At 45.1% G+C, this 22,997-nt stretch overlaps 1 annotated feature.

Moving 5' to 3' along the window:
* Positions 9,617-9,666: an enhancer, noted in NCBI's record as "active region_27206". NCBI's record gives its function as "activates an Ori minimal core promoter by ATAC-STARR-seq in GM12878 lymphoblastoid cells {active_cell/tissue: GM12878}" and the evidence as "EXISTENCE:reporter gene assay evidence [ECO:0000049][PMID:35858748]".

Below are 22,997 nucleotides of genomic sequence, written 5' to 3'. Positions count from 1 at the left end.
CAGTAGAGGATAGGCTGATGCTTACATAGAACCTCAGGCAGCTCTCTATGGAGGATTGTGCAGCAAACCGAGGCGGCAAGGATTGCTGAAGGGCACAGGAGCTGAGCTGCAGGCCTTGGCATTTGGGGATCTTAATGCTTTTGTGGATTGGAATGGAGGCTGGGCCGGGACGGGATCAAAAGTAGGCTGAGCAGGCCAGGCAGATATAGTCACATTGGCCTCTGGGAGGGATGGAAAGCAAAGGAGAAGGAAGCAGTCTTGAGCCCCCAGAGGCAGGACTGACCATCAGAAGAGAGGAGGCAACATGGCCCCGCTAAATAATTAGAACAAGAGTTTGTCCTAATTCTAGGTAGCCTGTTTTTCTGAGGAGCTCAGAAGATATGATCTCATTAGCCCTGAAAGTCAGGATAACTGACAGTTAACCTTCAGGATAACTTCCTCTGGTGCCATTTTGTCCCCCTGAGTAGGACATCAAGTTCCCAACAGCGGAGGGTCACGGGGCTGCACAGGAGCGGGCACCATGTTTAAGTCTCATGCAGTGAGTTGACCGTGGTGGTGTGGGGTCTCTCTTGGTCTGTCTGTGGGCTGAGGTGAGGCTCAAGAGCACCAGCCTCCCATAAACTCAGGTCTTCCCCAGAGCCTTGAAGCCTTTTCAGTGTTCGATCTGAATTTCTCTTGGATCTATCTTCAAACAAATTCAGGGTTTTCCTACATTAAAAACAAACAAAATCCCTTCAATCACTCTCCCCTCCACCTGCCATACCCTGGAGCTAACTTTCTGTCTTTATCGTTCTCCCCAACATCAAGGAAGATGGAGCTTTATAACATTAAGAGATTTGAAACAATGATGATTGTCCTAGCTGTTGACATGAACTGTGGTTTAGTTTTGCAAAAGTTGGGCTCAAAACATTGAAAACAGCATTTGAAAACTATTTAATTACATATAAAAATTCTTCAGATATAAGTTCAGTGAAACAATCAGGAATAAACCTGCATATAAAGTGTGATTCCAATTAAAAAACCCAAACCTCCCTAATATATGCAGAGAAAAAATGTCTGGAGGGAACTATCCCGAGATGTTTATAGTGTTTATCTCTGGGGGTGGGAGGATGGGAAATGTAAGTTTTCTTTATACTTCCTTAAAAACGTTTTGCAATAAATTGCTATGAGTTTTTATAATCAGAAAAGGGCTGTATTGTTATGAAGCTGTCTTATCTCGTCCACTTCCTCCCACTGACTACGTCCTTAACTAACCTAACCCTTGCATTTCACTTCCCATTGCGACGTCTCTGCAGAAATGGTTCTCTCCAGGGTCACAAATGGTCACCTGCTTATTTCATGTAGTGTGTGTGTGTTTGTTTTTTTTTTTCCTCCCTCAACTTCAGCCTACCCCAGTGAAGATCATTTCTACCTTCTTCACTGTCTTCTAAACATTCCCAGCCGGGTGGCACACGGACCTAATTTTCACAATATTCAAAACAGAACAAATACTCTTTATTTACCTATCTCAGTCTCTCCTGTTCTCCTTCCCAACCCAAATATCCTTCTCATTTTAAACTTTCTGGCTGGGTGCAGTGGCTCACGCCTATAATGCCAGCACTTTGGGAGGCTGAGGTGGGCAGATGACCTGAAGTCAGGAGTTCGAGACCAGCCTGGCCAACATAGTGAAAACCTGTCCCTATCAAAACTACAAAAGAATTAGCCAGCCATGGTGGCACACACCTGTAATCCCAGCTACTTGGGAGGCTGAGGCAGGAGAATCACTTGAACCTGGGAGGTGGAGGTTGCAGTGAGCCGAGATCGTGCCACTGCCCTCCAGCCTGGGTGACAGAGCGAGACTCCCTCTCAAAAAAATAAAAATAAATAAATAAAATTTCTAATGTGTCATTACCTTGTTTACATAGACCTGGACCTGAAGTAGCAGGCCCAGTCTGACACCTCCCTCTTCCCTGTTTTCTTCCCCATCCACTCATTTGCCAAGTCCTCTGAATTCTACTTCTGTAGTTTCTCTTTCACCAAACCACCCGTTGTTTGTTCTCACTGTGTCTCTTCTAGCTCAGAAACTCCCTGTCTGATCTCTGGATCATGCCGAGTATCCTAACAGTTTTCTTTGCCTTTAGTCTTTCGCTTGCACCAATCATCAATCCACCCACTGCGGAGGACGACAGCCTGGCTCTGGGCGGATTTCTACTCTGTGCAGAAATCTCCATGGTCCTCATGGCCTGCTAAACCCCAAACAGGTTTCTTAGGTTTTCCTAGGCCGAACTATCTCTTTCAGTTTTGTTTCCTGCCGCCTCCAATCCAAGCCTGTCGGTCTAAGCAGAGCGCACACTGTTACCCTGAAAACAAATGTGAACCTGAAAGAGCTATTCCTTCGAGATGGATCCTGAGTGGCTAACTGGACCTATTTTATTTATTTATTTATTTATTTATTTATTTATTTATTTATTTATTTATTTATTGATAGGGGTTTTGCTACACTGCATAGGCTGATCTTGAACTCCTGAGCTAAGGGAGTCTTCCCACCTCGGCCTCCTAAAGTGCTGGTACTACAGGCCTAAGCCACTTTGCCGAGGCCTGGACCTATTTTAAATAAAGTCAGGCAGCCATTTGCTGACTACAGGTCACATGTGTACTCTGAGTTCCTCAAAAACCCACATTCCTACTTAACTTTAGGACTTTCAGAGTTCACCTGAATCAATCAATCAGAGCTCACCTGCCTTGGCCTTTCAGGGCTTAGTTTTATCAACCTATCAGGTTTCAGCTGTATCTACCAATCAGAACTCACGTGTTGACCAATCAGAACTAAGTAAGTTTGAATTCTGCATTTGGGTAAGTAGACCTGATTGGGAACCTGGGTGAGAAATTTGGCTATAAAACCTGAACTCTCGGCAGGGTGTGGTGGCTTACCCCTGTAATCCCAGGACTTTGGGAGGCTGAGCTGGGTGGATTACCTAAGGTCAGGAGTTCGAGACCAGCCTGGCCAACATGGCAAAACCCTGTCTCTACTAACAACACAAAAATTAGCTGGGCGCAGTGGCAGGTGCCTGTAATCCCAGCTACTAGGGAGGCTGAGGCAGGAGAATCGCTTGAACCTGGGAGTCAGAGGTTGCAGTGAGCCTGGGTGACAGAGTGTGACTGTCTCAAAACAAACAAACACAAAAAAAACAAAACCAAAAACCTGAACTCTCCCTTTGTTCTCTGGGTCGCACCTTCACTTTAAATGGAAGGCTACGTCTCTCCTGTTCGCAGACTATTCAATGGAATAATCTTTTTCCTCCAAATTCCTTTTCAGAGACCTTCTGTTCAAAATCCAAACATTCTCTACCAAATGCTTGCTTTCTTGTGCCATTCAGAGAATCACAGATTCAGAGGGGACCAGGGTTAACATGTTAAATTCCTTCTGTCATTCTTTCTTGTCCAATGTCTTTTGAGTAAACTCCAGCTTGTTCATGACCCTTTAAAATTTGGTTCCTAGAACTAATTTCAGCATTCCGAGTTCAACATGCTTTTGTCTGGGAAGGGCATTGGAGATGAAGAGTTGATGCTGGAAACGGAGACTGATTATTCACAGAGACTTCCATTTGGCACTGAAGTAGCTTGCCTGACCGTGAGTATGAGACTCTGATCCCCAACAGAGGTGCAAGGATATAAAAACATGTCTAATAGTCTGAGGTGGCTCAGACGAGAAGAATGAGGTCTCTGAGAGGAACTCACTGTGAGAACAAGAAGAGATGAGCTCAAGCCACCCTCAGCATTGGGTCCACAGGCTTGGAGGAGTAGATACTACTGGTTATGGAATTCATTAGGACCTAGCCAGGCTGGGGTAGGTGGAGATGGTGGTGTGAGGCTGGTAATTCTGATTATGTGGATGTGAATTACATGGATGGTAACATTTGAAGACACTGGCATCTTTGCTGTGGGATGCCCCATGCGTAGGGAGGGAGTATTTTCTGTCTTATTTCATTAAACAGGTCACAGCACCATAAAAATGAGAGACTGGCTGTGGTGGAAATTTCCTTTGCAATTAGTACTGAAGTCATTGGTTATAGAATCTTGTCTCTTGGATTGAGTATAAAAGTTCCCATCCTCTCATCAAGAAGTGAGGAGAGGCCAGGTGTGGTGGCTCATGATTGTAATCCCAGCACTTTGAGTGGCTGAAACAGGAGGATCACTTGAGTCCAGGAGTTCAAGACCAGCTGGGGTGACATAATGAGACTCAGTCTCTACAAAAAATTAAAAAATTAGGCCGGGCACAGTGGTTCACACCTGTAACCCCAGTACTTTGGAAGGCTGAGGTGGGTGGATCACTTGAGGTCAGGAGTTCAAGACCAGCCTGGCCAACATGGTGAAACCCCGTCTCTACTAAAAATACAAATACAAAAATTAGCAACGTGTTGTGGCACGTGCCTGTAATTACAGCTACTCATGAGTCTGAGGCAGGAGAACTGCTGAACCCAGGAAGCGGAGGTTGCAGTGAGCCGAGATTGTGCTAGTGCACTCCAGCCTGGGCAACAGAGCAAGACTCTGTCTCTTAAAAAAAAAAATTAGCTGGGTGTGGTGGCGCACATCTGTAGTCTCAACTACTACTCAGGAGGCTGAGGTGGGAGGATCACTTGAGCCCAGGAGTTTGAGGCTGCAGTGAGCTATGATGGTGCCACTGCACTCTAGCCTGGGTGACAGAGCAAGACCCTGTCTCTGAATTTAAAAAAAAAAAAAAAAGTGAGAAGAAATCCAGAGTGAATTCTGGACACTTTTAAGCTCATCTGGAGACTCTTGGAGATATCCAGGGAAAGAAATTCTAGGAATAGGCTGGACTTCTTGTGATACAAACCTATGGAGATAAGGAACATTGAGATCTGGAGTGGTATTTCAAGGTGGTCCTCGTGTTCACTTACAGGCTGGTGAGGCCAGAGATACCAGTTACACAAGTAACATTCTCCCAAAAGATTGTGAGCTCTGTGAGTATAGGGTTATGTCTGACTTCTCATTATAGCAAACCTAATGCCTAACTCTTAATAGGCACTTCATCAAGGTTATGAAGGGATGAGTGAATGAATAATTAAATGAATAAGGAGTGTGATTGATATAGAACAGGAAATATGGTCAACTTTTAAAAATAATAATATTAATTATTTTATTAATTTGAGAGGGGTCTCACTGTGTTGTCCAGGCTGGTCTCAAGCTCCTTGCTCAAGCGATCCTTCCGCTTCAGCCTCCTGAGTAGCTGGGACTACAGGCCTGCACCACTGTGCCTGGCTGATCATCTGTATTTTAGAGTCTATCTTTCTATTCATGCAGCCCAAGACTGCATGGGTGTTTGTGGGTGCTATGTTACATTCATTCATGATTGACCCTGATCTTGCTGTAGACTGGGGTTTTAAACTGAAGTGTGTTTGTGAAGCACTTCAAAAAACATATGGTTGTCTGGGTCTACTGAGTCAGAATCCCCAGTGCATGGGGCCCAGGCTTGTATATTCCACTGGGTTCATCCGGTTAAACCTCTGCTGTGGCCTGAAGCACCGACGTAGTTTTCACAAGCATGGCTGCCACATCCTATTTCCTTCCTTTCTATGTTTTTGTAGTTAAATTTTTGAACTCCTGCTAAATTTTGTCTTGTCAGTTTTAGCTCATTGCACTAGCTCATCAACCTCTTTTTGATCATGCTTCTGTCATTTATTATATTAGCTATTTCCCCTTGGATTTGTGTCACATGCTAATTAGATAAACTTGCCTTTTTTATCTTTAGGCAAGTCATTGAAAAACATGGGGAACATAAAAGGGTTAGGATTGCAATGGACTCATCAATTAATACCCAGAAAGAAAATGAGCTTAAACATTTTTTTTAAACGCAATTTCTTCCCACTTGCAAATGCAGTTTAGAGGAAAATAATGCTGGGACACAGTGTGGAGATTTAATCTGTATTTCCAGCTTTCCCAATAAATATTTCTATGACCTTGGGAAAGTCACTTACTCTTGGGTATTACTTTCTGTCTGAGGAAAACCATGGGGAGGAGAGATTAGTGCTTTGGGCTGACCCAAGTCCTCTCTTTCTGTGGTTTCCTCTCTGAACCTGCCTCAGTTCCATTTATTCCTTCTAGTACCTCAGCCTGACGTGGCCCCTGCTATCACTATGCCTGGCCAGCAGGACATAATTTCCCTGCTGTCAAGTCTGGTGTAGACAGATCACTTGTTCCTTCATACCAGCCTGGATAGGGTAGACATTTTTCAAAAGAACTTTTTTGATGGGGCGTGGGAAGGGAAGAACCCTAAGGAAATAGACAGGAAACTGTATGAACAGAGAAACGGGGGATATTATTCATGCAGTGAGGACTTGTGGAATTTCTGTGATGTCAATCACAGTGTCAATTACTGTTTTGGGTCCTGGGAATACAGCAGTGAAACAAAGTTCCTGCCCTGATGGAGCTGACATTCTGTAGTTGGGAGAGAAAGCTAACACATCATCAGATACACCAGGTGGTATAACTGTTCCCGAGAAAACAAAGTCTGGTAAAGGAGATGGGAGTGTGGGTGGGCAGTGTTATTTTATGTAGGGTGTTGAAGGAAGTCCTCTTTAATTAGCTGACATGGGTGCAGCGATCTGGAGGACGTGAAGGGGTGCTGGGGACATAGTGAGATGGGCACAGAGTGGGAACCTTGAGGACAGAGATTGCCCGTGTGGTCTATGAGCAGCAAGGAGGTAGGGGCAAGGGGAAGATGAAACCTGGAGGGAGGAGATGGAAGAGGTGGCAGAGGGCTGGGTTGCTTAGGCCCTTGTAGGGCTTTGGATTTCACGCTGAGTAAACTGAGATGCCATTGGAGAGTTTTTGAATAGAAAAGTGTCATCTGACTTAGGCCTTTAAGGGAGACCAGTTAGGGGGCCAGGGAACAGAGTGGAGGTGGAAAGGGGGTAAAATGGTTCAGATTGGGAATGAATTTGAACTTGGAAGTTCTGCCAGTGGGATGCGCTGGTGGGTTTTATATAGGATGTGTGTGTATGTGTGTCTGCGGGAGGCAGGAAGGCAGAGAGAGAGAGAGAGAGAGAGAGAGAGAGAGAAAGAGAGAAAGAGAGAGGGAAACTCCAAGACTTTTTATCTGAGCAACTGGAATGATGGAGTTGCTATTTGTAGGAAGGTTTGGGAGTGAGCATGAATTTGATCTTAGACACATTAAGTTTGAGATGATTTTTCAACATTTGAAGGAGTCAGGGTTTGGTTTGGAAGACAGAAACCACTATGACTGTGTCAAGGAGAATCCGTATCTCCAAGGGGAGTGTTCTAAAATGAAACCTACACGCGCCCTGTCTCCTGAAATCTGTCCTAATCTCCACGTATTCATTCTGACTCATTATTTTTGCACAGAACATCCTTATTTACCATGTATTTACCACCCACCAAAGGCCGATCTTCCCTTTAGAGAAGGCTGACTTTGACTTTGTTCAGCTGTGATTTTTTTTTTTAATGAACTGGTCCCTATCACAAGCATTCCTGACAGAGGTTGGGCCAATCTGATGGCTGATAGAAGACTTCTGGGCTTTTTCTTAATTCAAAACTGAAGTCTCTGCCTGCCTACTAAACTCTCATTTTCTGTTAGAGGATTACTGCTACCGCTACCTCATTTGCAGAGTAGAGGTGACTAAGATACCATGAGCCTGAGCCGAGTATCTTTGCAGAGGTAATCACCTCCCCAGTTGCCCTGTGGTGACTCAGAAGAGTGCTCACATTTAGCTGGGCATGGTGGCTCATGCCGGTAGTCCCAGGAGGCTGAGGAGGGAGGATCCCTAAGCCCCAGAGATGGAGGTTGCTGTGAGCCGTGATAATGCCACTACGTGATCATAATCATAATTCTGATTATGTGGATGTGAATTACACGAATGGTAATTACACTGGTAATTACACTGCACTCCAGCCTGGGTGACAGAGTGAGACTCCGTCTCAAAAATAAATAAATAAATAAATAAATAAATAAATAAATAAATAAATAAAAATAAAAATAAAAATGCTCCTTCATCCCTCCCCTGCCTCCCATTGCCACCAGAATCTGGACACTGCATGTTTCCAATAGAAAACTATTTTGAACAAGGTCTAAATAAGATAAGAATAGGGCCAGACATGGTGGCTCATGCCTGTAATCCGAGCACTTTGGGAGGCTGAGGTGGGCGGGTCACTTGAGGTCAGGAGTTTGAGATCAGCCTTGCCAACATGGTAAAACTCCGTCTCCACTAAAAAAAATACAAAAACTTAGCTGGGCGTGCCTTAGTCCCAGCTACCTGGGAGGCTGAGGTGGGAGAATCGCTTGAACCTGAGAGGTGGAGGTTGCAGTGAGCTGAAATTGTTCCACTTCACTCCAACTGGGGTGATGGAGTGTCTCAAAAAAAAAGAATTGACATATTCATATTTCATTCTATAAATGGGGGAGGGAATGAGCTGTCATTAGGATAGACAGCATCCCAGGATTTGAGTATCAAGGGTCATATAATCACACAAGCATTAAAGAAAAAAAGAGAAGGAAAAGAAAAAAGCAAAAAATAGAGAATATGATTTTTTACCTTGATTCTAAGGAGGACTCTGTAATTAGAATAAGATGATGCCTAAGACATCAAGTAAACCATTTCTCTGGCTCAGGTGAGGTTGGGATTCATAACATTTTACCTCCTACCCCTTTTGAGTTTTATTCCTTTAATTCTCTCTGAAGGTGTTAATGAACAGTGAATTGCTTAAGGGTACACTTGCTGACAAGGAAGAATAAAGGCAGGAAACCAATGACAACAGGGAGTTTCAAAAACTGTTAGGAGCAAATTATAAATGAAATCTTCTGTAGAACCTCAGATTAAATAGATTAAAGCGGGGCTGTTTTTCTCCGGCTCCTACTAACTCTCCCACTCCCGCCCTATCCCATTTGTTTATTTTTGCAACTGTTGTTGGCCTTTTCCTTGAAGTCCTCCAGAGAAGAAAGTTCTATATACCCTTAAGCCATGGATTATTAAGGGCCGAGAGATGACTGAGTAATCTTGGAGGTGTTTTTCTTCCTCTAGAAGGGTTTCCTCCAAGCCTAGGGCCTTTCACTGAGAAATCAAGAGCCAGGTAGAAAGAACCTGGGCTGAAGCTAAACATGGGTTTAGGATCTGTGGACCCCAAGCCATATGTTGCCAGTGCCAACTTGAGAGTGAGCATTTGAGGTTCCATTCACCTTGTGACTGAGAAGGTAGTGTAGGAGCATGCAAGTAACAGAAGGAAACAGAGGGGATATTTACACTACACCCCTGACCTTTGCAGAAAGCCTAGTCTTTTTCTTCCCCTAATTCTCCAGAGTTCTCTGTCTTTGCACCCACTCCATCTTAGACTCATCATTCTATTAATAATTGTTTTTTACTGTGAAAGTGCGCACATGGCTCCCAGATGGTGGTTTGAGCCTCACATCAACAGAGTGGCCTGACAGTGATGGCTTCAGCTTTGAGCAGAGAGGAGGGTGATGGGCTGTGACTCACTCTAGGAGTTTCCATCATCTGCGCTGGCCAGTCAGCCCATCCATTATCTGTGGTTTGTCTCATCCTGCCTAAGCCTATTAGCTCATCTCTTTTTGCCAACTTGACATTCGGTTCTCTTCCTTTGTTCGACTCCCTGGGACTGTCTGCCGCATTACCTTCTTATGTGCTCATTGTCCCATACGGTGTCATTTGCAGATAATAGTAACATGCCATTTACGAGCTCCTGGATCACTAATAAAAATGTTAAATGAGTCAGAAGGTGACACCTCGCTTTTGCCATCTGCAGCATGTTGACATTTGTCATTACCTTTTAAGGCAGAAACCAGAGCCTGCAATCGTAGCAGTCTAAACTAGACCCACTCAAACTTGACTATCAGCATCACAGTGACAACACCCTCATTAGCCATCATCATCAGTCTCATTCACCCACAGTGGTGGCCTCTGGAGCACTCACGGAGCTGACCAGGGTGAAGAAAGAGAAGGGGAGCAAAGGGAGTTACGGGATCTGGGCGGATGGTGCCAGATCTGAGATTCAGTGGGTTTGGCTCTCTGGATACTTAGAGTCTGCAAGTAAATATCAGTGACATGTTGTCATGTTGTCACCAGGACAGCTTGGTGAAGGATGCACTGGCACAGGGCTAGCTCTGCTGGGTCATTTGAGATGCAAAGCAGATTATTTTTGGTTAGAATTATCTGGCTGCCCTGCCTACTGTGATGAATTGATACTTTAGCATATACATAATCCAGAGACTTATAGAATATTAGTTATCTTATTTCCAGGGCTGAACTATTAAGTACTGATTTAAACATCCTTATTTGTCAACTCTGTGGTTTGACTTTTCTTTCTCTTTTGTTTTTAGACAAGGTCTCACTCTGTCTCCCAGGCTGGAGTGCAGTGGTGTGATCACAGCTCACTGCAGCTTTCACCTCCTGGGCCTAAGCAATCCTCCTACCACAGCCTTCCTAGTAGCTGGGACCACAGGCGTGTGCCATCACACTCAGCTAAGTTTTAATTTTTAAAGAAATAGAGATGGGATCTTACTATGTTACCTAGGCTCATCTCAAACTTCTGGGCTCAAGTGATTCTCCCACCTTGGCTTCCCAAAGTGGTAGGATTACAGATGTGAGCCTGGTTGACTTTTCTCTTTTTCATAAGTTATTCTGATTTTTTTAAAAATTTATTTTTGGTCTGGGTGCAGTGGCTCACATCTGTAATTCTAGTACTTTGGGAGGCCGAAGTGGGAGGATCTCTGGAGCCCAGGAGGTCGAGGCTGCGGTGAGCTGAGATTGCACCACTGCACTCCAGCCTGGGTGACAAAGCAAGACCCAGTCTCAAAAAAATACATATTTTTGGATCTTCTCATTAATTCACTACTTTCCTTAGTTATTAGCTTGACTTTATTTCTCAATAGGAAATTCTCTCTTTTTTTTTTCTGGAAAATTGAACTTACTCCCCCTGTGTGTTTAACTCTGAACTGTATACATTGGTAGAACACAATCTTACACGTTTCCATGTACCGTTCATTTTTGGTGTGTATTATTCTTTCCTCTATATGGGTTTGAGTGATCCTTTGAAAGTTCATGCTGCAGGTGTTATTTCTCAGGACAACTGAAATTTCACTTTGTAATTTTCTAGTTTGGTTTCTACACTTTTGATGGATTCCAGGGTGAGCTGTGAGTCTTTTCCTTTTTTTCACCAGAGAAGGAAATGAGACATTGACATAATGACAGAAATGTATGAAGCGAGATAATGGTGACATCATAGTGACAACGGCTGTGACAGTGATGCAGTCCCTGTCACGGAGAATTCTGGCAAGCCACGGTCATCGGGTGGTGTTGCGCTGGGAAAGTGAAGCTAGAGAAATTCTGAAATCAAGGACTGGTTTATGTGGAGCACTAGAACTTGGAATGTCTGTGCAGGGAATCTGAAAGCAGGAAAAGAGAATTTTGGAATCAGCAGCCATACACATCACACTTATCATTTCTTGGAACAGTTTCTTGGAAAAGGCAGTAACACAGGCAGGAAGAGGGTGAAAAATCAGCCTCTATGAACTTTTAACCATTTATTTAACTACAATTGATTGTGCCAGGCATTGAATTAAATGCTGTCCCTGCATTAATAATAATAATTTATTAAAAAGTGATGGTAATAATATTATTATTATGGAGAATAATAATTCGCAACAATCCTCCATCAATCCATTCAGCTTAGAGAGGTTAAGTAATGAAAGCTTTCCAAGGTCACACATAAGAGGAAGAGCTTGAATATGATCCTATTTGACTGCAGAGTTCAAGCTGTTACCATTAATTTAAATGTTACAGATGCAGAGATGAATTAGATGATGTTGGCCCTCAGAGATCTTATCATCAAATGAGAAGGCAATGGAGTTCATGCAAGCACATTTTAAGAATAGTGTGATAAGAGTTATGATAGAAGCATGCACAGGGATTATTGGGGTACAAAGAGGTGCATATACAATTCTACATAACAGGGGCATTGAGTCAAGGTATCAGGATGGTGCAAAAGTAATTGCGGTTTTGCCACTGCTAATGGCAAAAACCGCAATTACTTTTGCACCAATCTAATGGAAGGAAGGGGAGATGAGCCAGGTCTTTAGAGATGGCTTGGCCAGAAATTGTCATCAGACCACCTTTCTAGACTTTCCTTTGACTCCGAAGTCACCAGGCAATCTTGGATTTGATTGCACTTTCAGGACGGTGCCTTTAATTCAACAAGTGTTTATCCAACACCTGCTCCACAAAACGCTCTTTGCTGGAAGTTGAGTGGGAATACATAGAAAAGAGAAGACTCGGCCTTGGCTCTGCAGTAGACAGCACCAGAGAAGGAGGAATGCAGATGTGCAAAGCTCAAGCAGTTCAGAGCAGAGGGAGGTGGGTGTGGGTGGGTCTCTCGGAAATCTCCGTGGTGAAGGCAGCTGCGGGGACCTGAGGCAAGAGTGAGAGGGGGTGAAATTGGGGAAGGGATGGTGCTCCTGGCTTGGGCACATGGCATGTGCAAAGGCCGGGAGCTGAGACGGACCATGCTGCTTTCAGAGGAGAGGTGAACTAGTCTGAGGCACAGGATTCTGCTGCTGGAAATGGGGGATGTCAGTGCGAGTAGGAGGGGAGAAGCCTGCTTCTGGAACTCCTTCCTGGTGTCAGGCCCAGGACGTTGTCCCTTCTCAACTGTGTTGCCTGCCAGCTGCCTGTGCTGCTGCAGAGCATGCTGCCTGCCCCAGTGGGGCTCTCACTTCTCCCCCAATCTCTGCCTGTGATTGACTGCCCTTCCCCCACCAACCCTACTGCCAGGTTGGGAGAGTCAGCTCCCTTTCACTCAGGTTGCCTGGTCACTGTCTTCTTAGCTAATTCCAGAGTGGCTTCAACTTCTTCTGGACTTGGTCCTTCTTATTCTTTTTTAGAGACAGGGTCTCGGCCAGGTGCGGTGGCTCACGCCTGTAATCCCAGCACTTTGGGAGGCGGAAGTGGGCGGATCACAAGGTCGGGAGATTGAGACCATCATGGCCAACACGGTGAAACCCCGTCTCTACTAAAAACACAAAAAATTAGCCAGGTGTGGTGGCATGTACCTGTAGTCACAGCTACTCAAGAGGCTTAGGTGGGAGGACTGCTTGAGCCTAGGAGTTAGAGGCCAGACTGGGCAACCTAGTGAGATCCTGTCTCTAAAAAATATTGTCAGAATTTAAAATTGTTTATTTACAGAATTGTAAGCATGTGGTGTATTCAAGAAAGATCTATTCCCATCCCAGCCTTAGCCTTGCTGTTGTCTCTGGTTCACCTTCCGTCCTTAGGGATGGAAGCCACATTTTGCTTTCCTAGGTGCCAGGATCATTTTAAAGCTGACCCAGGCTCAGATCTTTGTCTATGAGTATCTTTTCTCTGAGAGGAACTAGCAACATTTTCTTTCCTTTTCTTTTCTTTTCTTTTTTTTTTTTTTTGAGACAGAGTCTCACTCTGCTACCCGGGCTGGAGTGCCGTGGTGTGATCTCGGCTCGCTGCAATCTCTGCCTCCTGGGTTCAAATGATTCTTCTGCCCCAGCCTCCTGAGTAGCTGGGACTACAGGCGCACACCACCATACTCAGCTAATTTTTGTATTTTTAGTAGAGGTGGGGTTTCACCATGTTGGCCAGGCTGGTCTCGAACTTCTGACCTCAGGTGATTCACCCACATTGGCCTCCCAAAGTGCTGGGATTACAGGCATGAGCCACTGTGTCCAGCCTCTTTCTTTTCTTTTTTTGATTGTCATTTTTATTTTATTGGGAATTTATATTTTTAATTTTTAATTTTAATGGGTACATAGTAGGTATATATATTTATGGGGTATATGAGATGTTTTGATCCAGACATGCAATATATAATAATCACGTTAGGGTAAATGGGGTATCCATCACCTTAAGGCAGCAAACATTTTCTTGTTTGTGTTGTCTCTAGGTCAAGGCTGACTTCCTAGTCCATAGGTGAATCTAAGAGCAGGTTCTTCCTTCTGACCTAGAGAGCAGAGATTCCAAGCACCTCACTCCTTTGTGCCTCCCAAGGTCCAGTGGGAGAGGGGAGGGATCCCTGCCCCCAGAGGGGAAGGGTCATGACTTTTACTGCCCAGGCTGGGGATAGGCAGCAGAGAGGAGGGGAGTGAGTGCTGCCCCTTGGCCTTTGTTGGGCCCTGACTGATGGGCCAGCTTCCTCTGGTCAGGGGAGGAACTGCATTCAGAGATGGGTACAGTAGGTGTAACAGCAATGGCACCAGCAGACAGTGGCCCTCCCACAACAGCCTGGCAGGGAGGCAAGCAGGCTCGTATGGGGTTAGCCCAGGAGTGCCCAAGATCCTATGGGGCGCCTCAGGCTATGTGTGCACCACCACATGCCAGTCCTTTCAGCGTGAATCACCAAATCAACTGGACTCATAATTTATACTCAGCTTGGGCTGGGCACAGTGGCTCATGCCTATAATCCCAGCACTTTGGGAGGCTGAGGGAGGCAGATCACCTGAGGTCAGGCGTTCGAGACCAGCCTGGCCAACATGGTGAAACCTCTGTCTCTATTAAAAATACAAAAATTAGCTAGGTGTGGTGGCAGGTACCTGTAATCCCAGCTACTTGGGAGGCTGAAGCAGGAGAATTGCGTGAACCCGGGAGGCAGAGGTTGCAGTGAGCTGAGACTGTGCCATTGCACTCCAGCCTGGGCAGCAAGAGCAAAACTCTGTCTCAAAAAAAAAAAAAAAAAAAAGAAAGAAATTCACACTCAGCATCTGTGGCCCAAACTCTATCAATTACTTTATGATAAAATCACATCATGCTGTTTATTAATTAGTGCCTGTGGTCTCCAGTAGTTTAGGGGATAGGTGTGTGGCCAAGAGAAGACACCTCACTACATGGTAGCTATGGTTTGAATGGGGGTAACCCACAGTGCAGGGTGGGAGGGTGGTTCCTGGACCTAAAAACCAATACGTCAAGGTAAACTCAGCCAGGAAAGAAAAACGAGTCTACTGCCAAGTTCAAAGAGGCATGAATTGGGAGAGGATGATGTGGTGATGTTATTGCATGGTCTTTGAGCTTGTGGTCTGAACTTGCTTAGTAGACCATTTTATATTCTCTTCTCTAAAAAAAAAAAAAAATCAACATTTCCCAGGTGTTTGGCATCCTGCTAAATGCTTCACATGCATTATCTCCTTTAATCCTCTCATGAACCATATCAGTACTGTTCTCACTTGACAGATGAAGAAATTCCATGCTTATCCTGTACCTACAAATTCTTCATGCACCCGTTCCACTTGATGAAGCCCCAAAGACAACATCTTTGTGTTTGTGCTTCCCGTGTGGACAGCCAGCAGGTCTTGCTGCTGGACCTCTGTGCTGTGGTGGTGAAGTGAGTGCAGACAGCAAAGCAAACCACAGGGCAGCACAGGCTGCTGCAATCCTGAAGCAGGATCCTGGGGCTTCAGTTATATTGAGCTGTGAGCACTTGCAGACAGATATGGCTGTCAGTCCCCCTCTCCTCCAAAGCTCTGAGGGAACCCACGCTGAGTCTTCAGGGCCTGACATCTCAAGGATCTCCTGTCTGGGAAATAACAAAGTGGCTGCTCCTGGCCAAGCATGGTGGCCCACACCTATAATCCTAGCACTTTGGGATACTGAGGTGGGAGGTTCGCTTGAGGCCAGGTGTTTGAGACGAGTCTGGGCAACATAGTGAGACCCCGTCTCCATGAAATTTAAAGAATTAGCCGGGCCTGGTGGCATGCACCTGCAGTCATAGCAACTTAGAAGGCTGAGGCAGGAGGATCACTTGAGCCCAGGAGTTCAAGTCTGCAGTGAGCTGTGATGGCACCACTGCACTCCAGCCTGGGAGACAGAGTGAGACCTGTCTCTAAATGAACAATCAACAAACAAACAAAAACAAAGTGACTGTTCCTCCATCAAGGAGTCATGGTTAGTGGTTAGTATGAATATCTTGTATTCTCATCTCACTGCCACAAGCCACAATTTAGGGAATCTCCTTTACATTCAAGCATGATCACATATTCCCCATACGGGAAGAAGGGCAGACAAGGCTGCTGAGCCTCAGAAATAAAAGGATCTGCCTCATAGTTTACTGGCAAAGGAAGGAGTTTCTTCCCAGGTTTGACCACTTTTCACTCTACAAGTTCAATGTTTCTTAATCAACTTGGTTCAGATCTATACATGATGATTCAAGGTACTGTTGCAGTAAGATGCCATTTGTGTGCTCTTGGGAATGGTAGGGTGGGGTACAGGACATTGGGTGGAAGACAGGTTGAGAAAGACCCCTAGACAGCTGGCAGCCATCATCACCAAGAGAGATAGCAGAAAAACAAGTGGAAGCTTCAGTTGGGATTATGCGAGAAGAGAGGTCAACATTGGCACCAACCGGACCAGCGACACTCCTTCCATTTGCACACCTGGCTGTTAGCACAGAGAGTTAGAACCAGGACTCCAAGATGAAAAGAAGTTTGAGTGCTTCTTAAGAAATGAGCCAAGGACCTGGGCAGAGGGCAAGTCCAGGTTCGGAGTCCACTCAGACCTAACATCAGGGTAAACCCCACTTGCCCAGGCCAAGTGTATTAGTCAGCGTTCTCTAGAGGGACAGAACTAATAGGATATATGTATATATGATGGGAGTTTATTAAGGAGAATTGACTCAGACAATCACAAGGTAAAGTCCCACAACAGGCCGTCTGCAAGTTGAATAACAAGGAAGCCAGTGGTGGAACTGTCTGAGTCCCAAAACCTCAAAAGTAGGGAAACCAACAGTGCAGCCTTCAGTCTGTGACCAAAGGCCTGAGAGCCCTTGGCAAACCACTGGTGTAAGTCTAAGAGTCCAAAGCTGAAGAGCTGAGAGTCTGATGTTCGAGGGCAGGAAGCATCCGATACAAGAGGAAGATGAGGGCCAGAAGACTCAGTAAGTCTGCTCTTCCATCTTCTCCTGCCTGCTTTATTCTAGCAGTGCTGGCAGCTGATTAGATGGTGCCCAACCAGATTGAGGGTGGGTCTGCCTCTCGAAGCCCACAGACTCAAATGTTAATCTCATTTGGCAGCATCCTCACAGACACACCCAGGAACAATACTTTGCATCCTTCAATCCAATCAAGTTGACATTTGATATTAACCATCTGACTGAGTGTCCTGGAAACAAATACTCTAAGTTCAGTAAATCCCTCTCTTTCTCCTTCTTTCCTTTTCTCCCCCTTGTCCTCTTTTTTCTTCTCTGCTCCCTCTGTTGTAGCATTTTTTAAAAAATAGTATTTAGTTCTTGGATAAACTTTTCAGAAGAGAAACTGTGCCATAGATACCTGGACTAATTCATTTCCACACCTAAGGGGTGTGAACATCTGTGGTCTACAAAGAACATGGGTCTTCAACTCACCAGTGTGCAAAGTAAAAATCAAAGCAACACTCTCACCTTACTTCTATCCCCCCACTAATAATGTTTAAAAAAAATCTCAGATGGGCATGGTGGCTCATGTCTGTAATTCTAGCACTTTGGGAGCCCGAGATGGGGGAATCTCTTGAGCCCAGGAGTTCCAGACCAGCCTGGGCAACATGGTGAAACCCTGTCTCTACAAAAAATACAAAAATTAGTTGGGTGTGGTGGCACCTGCCTGTAGTCCCAGCTACTTGGGAGGCTGAGGTGGGAGGATCTCTTGAGTCAAGGAGGTTGAGGCTGCAGTGAGTCATGATCACACCACTGTACTCCATCCTGGGTGACAGAGCGAGACCCTGTCTCAAAAACAAACAGGTTGGTGCGGTGGCTCACGCCTGTAATCCCAGCACTTTGGGAGGCTGACGCGGGCAGATCACGAGGTCAGGAGATGGAGACCATCCTGGCTAACACGGTGAAACCCCGTCTCTACTAAAAATACAAAAAATTAGCCAGGCTTGGTGGCAGGCGCCTGTAGTCCCAGCTACTTGGGAGGCTGAGGCAGGAGAATGGTGTGAACCCGTGAGGCGCAACTTGCAGTGAGCTGAGATCGCGCCACTGCACTCCAGCCTGGGGGACAGAGCGATATTCCATCTCAAAACAAAAAACATAAAACAAAACAACAACAATAAACAAAACTCAACCTCAAACCATTTCATTAAAATTCATGAGAAAGTAGACATTGTATCAATGTTTCAGAAGTCATACATGTGATTAACTTATCCAAGCAACAAAAAGCAATCATATTACAAAACTATATTTAGCAATTCTCTCTCTCTCTCTCTCTCTCCCTCTCCCTCTCCCTCTCCCTCTCCTTCTCCCTCTCCCTCTCTCTTTTTGAGACAGGGACTTGCTATGTGGCCATGGCTGGTCTCAAACTCCTGGGCTCAGGTGATCCCCCTGCCTCAGCCTGTCTAGTAGCTGGGATTACAGGCAGGCACCACTGCACTCAGCTGGTTCTTTAATAAACACACCATGAATAGTGTTCTCTCAGGAGTCACTTCTAGAGACTCATGGGGTTACAGATCTTCTCTGAAGACTGTAGGACTTTGCAAGCATCAGGAGGCAGCCTGGATAGCGCCAGGCAAGAAAATGACCCATTGGAAAATGCTGAGTCCACATTTAATAACTAACATTTAAGGGGTGCCCGCTATATGCCAAACACTACACTATCATACTAACACATATAATTTTATTTAGTCATGAAACGGCATTGAGAGGCAGATATTAACAAAAAGGATCTGAGACTCATAGAAGGAATACAACCTGCCCGATTTGGCCCTGGCAAGTAAGTGGGAGCACTGGGCTTTGAAATGATGTCTTCTGAATTGAATTCCTGGGTTCTTCCTAGCCTACTGTCATTGCTTTGAATTCCTTGGACAAAATGACCCACAAAAGTACAAATCTTTACCTTCTCATTGCCTGTGTCAGCTATGGTGAAGAGAATAAATACAGGTGGGGAAGAGCCAAAAATCGGGTGCATTTGTAGATAGGTTGGTGCATGAAACAAACAGGAAGATATAAAGTCTTTTCTTCTTGGGTCATCAGACACTAATTAGGAGCAATGGATAACGATGCAAACCTATGAAGGCTTAATGCAGTTGCAAAGGGTTCACAATATGAAGCTTCAATGAAAGAGTGACTTTTTCCACAAACTTAATGGGGAATAGTTATTCAATACCTGGTACAAATGGTGAGGGTGAAGAAAGTTGTGATTTTTTTTTTTTAAGAAAAAAATTTGTTTTGCTGGGAAGTCATGAAGAAGCAATGTCATCTCAGAGACCTAATAAGGCACGATGGTCCTGGACTTAATGGCTGTGGGAGCTGTTCATTCGTGACCTCAGGACCGGGCTGCTGCTTCCTGAGAGTTATTCCACCCTGGAGTTAAGACTCCGCTGTGCTAGGACCACTGTGAAACCACAACACACACCTAGTGGTTCTATTTTCATGGACTGAGAAAAGCAAGTTGGAGCCACTTCCTGATCTGGCTGCCTTTGCCCAGAGTCTGTTCCCGGGGTGCGGCATGGGGGCTGTGACCCTGAGGTCCTGCCCTCTCCTTCTCCTAGTCCCAACCCAAACCGTGAACCAGAAAATGGAACCCTGGCCAGGCCTGGTCTGAGGGACCATGTTCACATTTGACATCTTTGTGACTCTGGCAGGTCACAGACCCATCCCTCTCTCCTTCCCCAGCCCCCTCAGAATCTCCAGGGTGCCTGTGGCTGAGGTTTGGGTCCTCAGGATGGGGCAAGACTGGGGCAAGTGTGGTGGCCCATCAGTGAAAGAGCCTGAGGGAGGGTGATGGAGTTTGGATGTTGTCCTCTCTGAATCTCATGTTGAGTTGTAATCCCCAGTGTTGGAGAAGGGTCCTGGTGGGAGGTGATTGGATCATGGGGGTGGAATTCTCATGAATGATTTAGCACCATCTTCTTGGTTCTGTCCTCAAAATAGTAAATGATTTCTCATGAGATCTGATTGTTTAAAAGTGTGTGGCACCCCCCACCATCTCTCTTGCTCATGCTCTTGTCTTGTGATGTGCCTACTCCTGCCATAACTAAAAACTCCCTGAGGTTCCCCAGCAGTTGAGCAGATGCTGGTGCTATGCTTCTTGTACAGCCTGCAGAACCATTAGCCAATGAAACCTCTTTTCATTATAAATTACCCAGCCTCAGTATTTCTTTAAAGCAATGCAAGAATGGCTTGACACAGAGAGCATAGCTGAAATTATTAGGAGAAAGTCAAAGACCAAAGTCATGAACACCAGCTTGAAAGTCAAATTAAGAGTTAAGCCATCCCCAGAATGTGGGACAAGGCTTGGAAGTGTGCAGAACTGGAGTGGAAGGAGAGACAGGTCAGGGTAAAGGGAAGCAGACTCCAAACTCTGTATGATTTCCCCACCTTGGAAATTCGTTGCTCTTCCTGACCCACCACAGGCGAGCCACCCTGGGCTTTCTTTCAATCCCTCACATATCCCAGGCTGGCTCTGCTCGCAGGACCTCTGCACCTGTTGTCCCAGCTGCCTGGAATGCCCTGTCCGATATTCTTCTTAGTACTTAGATATCAGCTCAGATGTGACCTCTCAGAGAAGTCTTTCTCATTCTCCCCAGATAAATGTAGTAACTTTACCTCCTAAGTCACAATTGCATTGCCCTAACTTCATAGTATCAATTACCGGTATTACAGTGCTGCATGTGTGTATGTATGGATGTCAGTGGTCTGTCTTCCCCAATGAGATGGAAATTCCAAGGGGGTGGAGACTTTGCTTTGTTCTATGCTATATCCCTAGCACCTAGGATAATGCCTGACACTTAGCAGGCACTCACTAGATATTGCTGAATGAATGGAGATCCTGGTTGATGGCTGGGACTGGTGTGGAAGTGTAAATGGCTGTCTGATTGGCTGCTGGCCATTGATCAAGGATCAAAGAAGTCTTTCTGCATAAATCTGGGGAAATCTGGGGAAGAAGGCGAGGACAAATTTTCATCTCATTTGGCTCAAAGTAAGAACCAGTCCCTGCTTCCATTGCAAAAGGGGAAGAGGAGCACTTGTCTGGGTGTAATCAGATCCTTGGGATGAACTGGTACTTGCTACGCTGGAACACCAAGTAGAAACATGGCCAGAGAAAACAGATTGTCTGAAAGCATCGTATGGAAGGCACTATGAAACTGAGACAGCCCTGTCTGAAATGTAGGAGCAGGGTTTGCACATAGGCTTATGTATTCGAATATGTGAGCTGCTATTACAAACTCCCAAACATATAATGACTCTAACAGAGTAGAAGCTAATTTCTCCCTCACTGTCATCTCAAACAGGTGTTCCTGGTCAGCAGGCAGTTCTCTTTTAGACAGCAACTAAGGGATGCGGGCTCCTCCATCAAGGCTGCATCAGCTTGACATGCAACTCCTACGGTTCCCATTTTAGGCTGCCTGAAGCCAGGAGAAGAGGAAGGAAAGGGTGAAGAAGGTGTACTAGCTTGCTAGTGGGCTCAGCCCAAAGGACACGTACCAATTCTGCTCCTGCTCCTCATTGTGGAGCAGGACAATGTACCCCACTACACACCAGGAAGCAGGAAGTATAGTTTTGGCTAAGCAGTCACTTCCCCTCATAACACCATGCCCTGGAAGGGGAAGCGTCTGTCGGGGCGGATGCTTAACCTCCCTCCCAGAGGTTTGCAGTGAGATTTTCTCAGGGATCACATTGCCCATTTACTACAGCATTAGTTTAAACTGGCTGTTCTATGGAGCAGAGCTGGTGGCCAGTGGGACTCATGACAAAGGCAGCCAGTGGAACACATGGATTATGCTTCTCAGTGGTTTGGCAGCTAGGGTTGTAGAGATTGGAGAGTGTGGGTGTGACAGGTGTGGCAATCTCCCACTGATGCCATCCCTGAACCTTCCATCTCTATCCCTTGGTTTAGCAGCCCAAACTAATCCGGTTCTAGGTCTAGCTTTCCCAGGTACCTGGGACCATTTCCCTCGAGTGTCTCTGGCACTTGCAATCTCTGAGTGGGTAGGCCCATGGAGGTCATTTTGCTCTCTGCTTCCTCTGTCCCTCAACCCAACCCCCTACCTGCCAGTGTTCTGAGAAGGGAGCAGACAGGATGTGCTATTCCACATCAGAAAAGTGGTTTTCCTCTCCCTAGTTCATCAACCAAATGCAGGAGAGGAAAGGATCAACATTAACATGGGCATCTGAACATGAACAGCAGTTGAAGAGATGTCAACTATGAATGTTGTGAACACATTTTCAATGACTCTATAGGAGTATGGGAAATGGCTTTAAGTTTTAGAAAAAAAATTGTTTATTTTCCATTTACTGAGTATCATTTTGTATTATACAAATAATCTATGGATGACAGTTTAATGCTGCTCCATGCAGTGCTAATTTGTTAGAGCACTATTTGTCTCTGGAGCATTTTCCTAAAATAGATGTGTGTGTGTATGTAAAATAATCAGTTGCAAAAAAGTCATATAACTTGTGTTTTTTAATATAAAACTTCCATTCTCTGAATGTTTTTGAAGCTAGGAGCAACATTACAAGCTCTGAAAGAAACACCAAACTACAATTTTGAATCAATTCCTTGGACAAAATTAGATATGATGGGTTCCAATTCTAATTTATGGGAAGCCTTGGTAGGCTCTATGTTGAGGTGAGCCCTTTGAAAATTTTAGTACAGGTTGCTCTACTGTGTGTCTCAGCTAGGTAAACATGAGACAGGTACCATCACTGTCACCAAAGATGATGATGAATCCAGATCCCCCTTAGAGACCAGCCTGGTGAGGCCAAGGTCCCTTTTAAAATTAAAATTAAAACTAAACATGCTCTGTTTCTTATCATCATGATTGCAGTTTCTTTCTTCATGTTTGCTGACATACAAGAAGCAGCAGCAAAAGTTTTTTAAGTAATTCCATTTTATAATTATATAGTTTTAACTTTACTTCCTGGGAAAGCAATTCTTTAACTGAAAAGCTCATAATAACCAAAAATATTAAAAACTGTGTTTGTTGTAGGAAACCATAGTCGTTTACTTTTCATTTTTTTTGAGACGGAGTCTCATTCTGTTG

Source organism: Homo sapiens, chromosome 8 (assembly GCF_000001405.40).
Source record: "Homo sapiens chromosome 8, GRCh38.p14 Primary Assembly".
Lineage (NCBI taxonomy): Eukaryota > Metazoa > Chordata > Mammalia > Primates > Hominidae > Homo > Homo sapiens.
The sequence above is the reverse complement of the archived record's forward strand: the minus strand, read 5'-3'. Positions and strand labels throughout refer to the sequence as shown.